The following is a 6,196-nucleotide window of genomic DNA, read 5'->3' as shown; positions in this document are numbered from 1 at the left end:
AATGGTACAACATCTATGGCAAATAGCATGGAGGTTCCTCAAAAAATTAAAAATAGGACTACTGCATAATCCAGCAATCCCATTTCTGGTCATATATATGTAAGAATTAAAATTAGGATCTCAAAGTGATGTCTACACTCCCATGTTATTTGCAGCATTATTTACAATAGCTGAGATATGAAGTTGACCCAAATGCTCATTGACAGACAAATAGGTACAGAAAAGGTGCTTTATACATACAATGTAATATTATTATTTAAAAAGAAGAAAATTCCGCCCTTTGCAACAATATGGATACACCTGGAAGATATCATGCTAAGTAAAATAATCTAGTCATGGAAAGACAATTACTACATGATTCCACATATATGAGTTATCTACAATAGCCAAACTCACTGAAATAGATAATAGAATGGTGGTTGATAAAAATTAAGAGTAGGGGAAAATGAGGAGTTGTTCAATTTTCATAAATTAAACAGTTATGCAAGATGAATAAAGTTCTAAAGATCTTCTGTACAACATAGTGACTATAGTTAACATGGTATGGTGCCCTTAAAGTTCATTAAAAAGGTAGAGTTTGTGTTGTGTTATTACCACATATACACAACCACACGTGAATAATGCAAAAAGACACAACAAAACTTTTGGATGTGATGGTTATATTTATTACTTGATTTTGGGGATGGTATTACAGTTGTCTGTCTATGTCCAAACTCATCAAATTTTATACATTAAATGTACTTTTCATGAAGTATCTGACACTATTCTGTTTAATTTGTGAAAACATGATTGAAATAATATCAAAATAATTATAACATTTATAATTTTACTCACTTTATTCAATTTTTAGAGGAAAATACTGAATCCTCATGATTTTATTGGAAAGGATTACAACCAAAGGTTTATAAATGAAACTTGTAACTCTGTAAATATTTTCTACCCCCATACAAGTTCAGTCACCTAAAAAATTCAGGATGCGGGTGTTTAAAAAAATCTATTGGAAAAGTCTAATTTATGCAATAATTATTATAGCTTTTTTCTTTTGTAAAAATAAAAACAAAAAAATACAGAGAAACTCAATATGAGATTAATATTACCTAAAACTTAGAAACTATATTATAATTTCCAAGCAATTTGATATTATAGTAAAGATGTAAGAGAAGAATGTTTTGGGACATATAAAGAAATGTCATGGTGCCAAAACACTTTCTCATTTTTTCACACTAAAACTTAAAGGAATCAACCAAAATACAAAGAATAAAGGAAAATAATATTTCTTGAGACTAGCATTGAGAAAAAGTAATTACCATTCTGTACACTGCTTTTAATGAAGGTTGAGAAGTCACAGCTTTCTCAAAAGAGCATTGTGAATGATTAAAAATTACAAATAAGGTAACGAAAACATCAACTGTCTGAAATTCTGGGCATTTTGTGAATTCACCAGCTGGGCTGTAGCCCAGGTAGGCAACTTTCTCTATTCACTCCTCCACCTCCCCACATTATTCAGCATTTTAGGAAGTGATTAATAAAAATGATTTTGCAATAAATTGTCTTAAGTGACAGTGCAGTCTGTTTACTGGTAAGTGTTATTTGTGTCCTCATTTGTAATGTATTTGATTAATAATGAAATTGCGCACCTTTAAAAAATATGGAGTGATCTCTGTGTTTTTGTTTTTAAAAGTATGGGCTGATGAGGGATATCTACATATTTGAGGAAATCTAATTGATAGGGGTACAAAATTATATAACTTGAAATAATTGAAAATTATTTTATTTTTTATCCCTAGAAAAAAACACAGCCCACTTCCACCCTTTAATTTGGGCAACCATTTAAACCCTATGTCATTCTTTAGTCATGCCTTTTATTAAAAAGGGAAACTATTTACAAAGACCATACTTTGATGTATTGGATACAGATCCATATAGCATTTTCACTAGTGCTGAATACAAAAGTGCACTGCTCAATGAACAACTATATAAAACTTAAAACAGGCTTATTGAGGTACTGTACATATACCATACAATCCACACATTTAAAGTGTACAATCCAAAGGCATTTAGTATGTTCACAGATATACGAACAGTCAATCTTAGAACATTTTCATCGCCTCAAAAGTAACTGTATACCACTTAGCTATCATGACCCTGTATCATCATATGAGCCTGCTCTATGCAATGATCTCATAAGTCCTACAAAAAGACAAAGAGATGAGACAAAATATTTAAGGCAGACAAAGTAGCATAAGCAAAAGTAAAAAGAATGGCTCAATCATGATTTAGTTAGAAAAAATAGAGTTCTATTTAGTAATCGCTTATAAACCCCTAAACTAGTAAAAAGAAAAGTGGCCTTACCTCCTAGAGTTTTCTAATCTAGCACATTCAGGTAATAGTGAAGTAATAGATTATAAAATGTTTTTCATTTATACAAATCTTGCTAGTGGCAACATTAATACAAATGCACAGTGATACGCTACATAAACTAGAATTTTATCATATCAAACCATTGATTTGTTCCATTCAACAATCATACATACCATCTATCCATCCAACATGCACTGTGAAAGAACACACACAAAAAAATCACATTATAAAATCAAGATAACACGGACAAATAAATGCAATTATATTTACTTTTGTTAAATATTATAACATAAATATCAATAATTTTAAAACTTTCAAATCTAAGTAATTATTGTTTTTTATTTATAATATTTCACCATTATCTACAGGTTAAAAATGTAAAAGGAGGTAAAAAGACTAACTCCTTAATAGGTAGGTTAACTGCTTTCTTTAATAAGTTATATACACAGATTCAGGCAGCTCTTCTGTACTTCAATACTTAAACTAAAAATCCTGGTGAACAGGAAAAATTGATATTTCATTCTTTCCCTAAGCACTTTATTCTACCCCAAAATATGATCAGCTTAAATGATTGTCTTAGAAATATTATTTTAAAATAATTTATTGCATGTTAGGAAAGCTTATCAAATAACTTTTTATACAATTTACTTATATTAAATATTGCATACTTTCCTAAATATGACACACAGTGCAATATGGAAATTAATCATCTCTTTAAGCCATAAAAAACTTATGCCTTCTGTGCATTACAGGAAAATATGAAATACAAACAAATAATTCTCAGAATAACTGAGATCCAAGAACATCATCTCCTAGGGAATTACCATATTGGATCTTACAAAAATGGTCTCTATGGACATAAACACACACACACACGCACACACACACTTTTACTTCTTGTAACTATGCCCCCAGAGAATTCAATATACATTGATTGTCCACCACACATTCTTCTTTTGAAATCCCAGATACATAGTTAAGGAAGGATGTTTTAACTGAGTATGAAAAGTGAATGTGAGATGGAAAACATAGCCTCTTGAAGACCAATTGCCCTAGAGCTGAATGTGCTATATTATAAATACCTATTTCCTTTTTGTTTATTCACTTAACAATATATCCAATCAAACACTCCATATCAATTTATGGAGATATCCCAAAATATTTTATAGCTGCATAGTCCTTCTTTGTGAGAATGTACAAAGTTTCTTTTGTGATTCCATAAGAATTTTAGAATAGTTTTTCTACTTCCATGAAAAATACCTTTAGAATTTTGATAAAGACATCATTGAATCTATTTGTTGCTTTGAGTATTGTGGACATTTATACAATATGAATTCTTTCAATCCATGAGCAGGAGATATCTTTTTATTTATTTGTCTCTTCTTTAGCTTCTATTATCAACGTTTTATAGTATTCAGTGTACAGATCTTTCAAAAATCTACAACACACACAAAAACCGACTGAAAATGGATAAAGACCTAAATGAAAAATCTTAAATCTTAAATTTCTAGAAGAAAACATAGGAGAAAAGCACTTTTATATTGGCCTTGGCAATATTATTTTTAGATATGACACCAAAAGCACAGCCAACAAAAGCAAAACTAGACAAGAGGGATCTAATTAAACTAAACAACTTCTGTACCACAAAAGAAACAATTTACAAAATGAAAAGACAACCTACAGAATAGGAAAAATATTTGAAACTATATATTGATAAGGGGTTAATATAAAAAATCTATAAAGAAATGTAACTTGATAGTAAGAAAACAATTTAAAAACGAGCAAAAGACTTGAATAGACATTTCTAATAAGACATAAACATGACCAATATGTATATGAAAAGGTATTCAGCATCACTAATCATCAGGTAAATGTAAAACCAAACACCAATGATACATTACCTCACACCTGTTAAGATGTCTACTATCAAAAAGACAAGAGACAACAAGTGTCAGTGAAGGTTTGGAGAAAAGAGAACCCTTGTACATTGTTTGTGGGAATGTACATTGGTGCAAACGTTATAAAAACCTGTAGGGAGGATATTCAACAATTTAAAAGTAGAATTACCACATGATCCAGCATTCTCTTTTCTGGGTATATAACAAAAGGAGCTAAAATAAACACCTCATATAAATATCTACACTCTCATGTTCATTGCCACACTATTCATAATAGGTAAGATACGGAAGCAGCCTAAGTGAATATGGATGGATGAATGGATAAGGAAATTTGTTACACACACACACACACACACACACACACACACACACAGAGAAATAATACTGTCATTTTGTGATGACATGGAGAAGCCTAGAGGACATTATGCTAAGTGAAATTAGCCAGACACAGAAAGAAAAATACTGCATGATATTATTAATACTTACTATGGAATAGAACAGTGGTTACCAGGGATGGTGAGGGTAAGGAAACGGAGAAATGTAGGTCAAAGGGTACCAACTTGCAGTTGTGTAGAATGAATAAGTCTAGAGGTCTAATGGACAGCAGGACCATGGTTAATAATATTGTAATATATATTGAAAATTTGTGAAGACAGTAGATTTTAGGTGGTCTTACCACAAACAAGAGATAACTGTGAAAGGTGATGTATATTTTAATTTTCTTACCTTTAGTAATCACTTAACTATGTATATGTATAAAAACATTATGTTGTATATCTTTAATATATAAAATAAAAATAAATTTTTAAAAATACTTCTTATTTAATAATGCTACCTCGATTAATTTCACTTCTCTAATAGCAGTGGCTAATTATGGTTAATTAGCCATTGTTACAATTGTTAACTAAAACTTATAGGAAATTACTTTTTTAGATTAAGCTTTGCACTAGGCCCCAACAGACCACACTACTAAATCAGACTGTAGTCATTCATGCTAAAGATCCAAATCAACAAAGGGAAACTAAGTTGTTACTTGACTTTATGAAATCAGGAGAGAGAGTAACAGCCAGTTTTCCAAATAGCCCAGGTTTAATCTTCAATTGACATGATAATTAAGTTCCCTCTGTTTTAATCTTTACAACCAAAAGTAACATGAAGTAACCTTATGTTAGTCAGTCAGTAATCTTTCTACTGTTCTGTCTCCTGCCCCCAACTTACAAGGAAAGGCTTTGAAACGACCAATCTGCTTTCTGTTCTTTGTTTCTGTTTTTTTCAGCCCTTTTTCTGTTTAGAAAGCCAATCTTCTCCACTGGACTCATTGGAACATGTATTCTGTTTTATGAAATGAAGTATTGCCAGATTCTAGAATTGCAATAAAGCCAATTGAGATCTTTGAACTAAATTTTTACTCCATGATAAATAGAAGTGGATATAGAAGATATTCTTTCCTTGTTTGCCATTTTAGTGAAAATGTATCAACTATTTGCACAATCTATAAAAATCTAGTTTTAATATAAGGGCGTGTGTCTGTGTGTGTGTGTGTCAGTGCACACTTGTTATAAAAATATAACCAATTTACATTTTCTTTATTGCTTTCTATTCATCAGAAATAATTTTTCAAACTGTTAAGACCCTTTTAAGCTTCTGTGGGAATAATAATATGAGTTTTAGTTTATGTCTAGTAATAAGTTCTCTTTGGTTTATTTTATTTATTTTGTTGTTGAAGTTTTTACTAAAATTTTATTTAGAATTTTGGCAGGCACATCTATGTTATATATTGATCTCTGAGATTTTTTTGTTGTTTTTGCACTGTCTTTGTCAGTTTACAAATAAATAATATACACGATCCATTTTTCAACAAGCTACTTTGGGTCAGTTTTAATGTTCTTGAGCTATCATTCTTGACTTTATTCGTTTAATACTTTTATTTTGCATTG

This window comes from Homo sapiens, chromosome 12, assembly GCF_000001405.40.
Source record: "Homo sapiens chromosome 12, GRCh38.p14 Primary Assembly".
NCBI lineage: Eukaryota > Metazoa > Chordata > Mammalia > Primates > Hominidae > Homo > Homo sapiens.
This window is presented reverse-complemented; position numbering follows the sequence as displayed.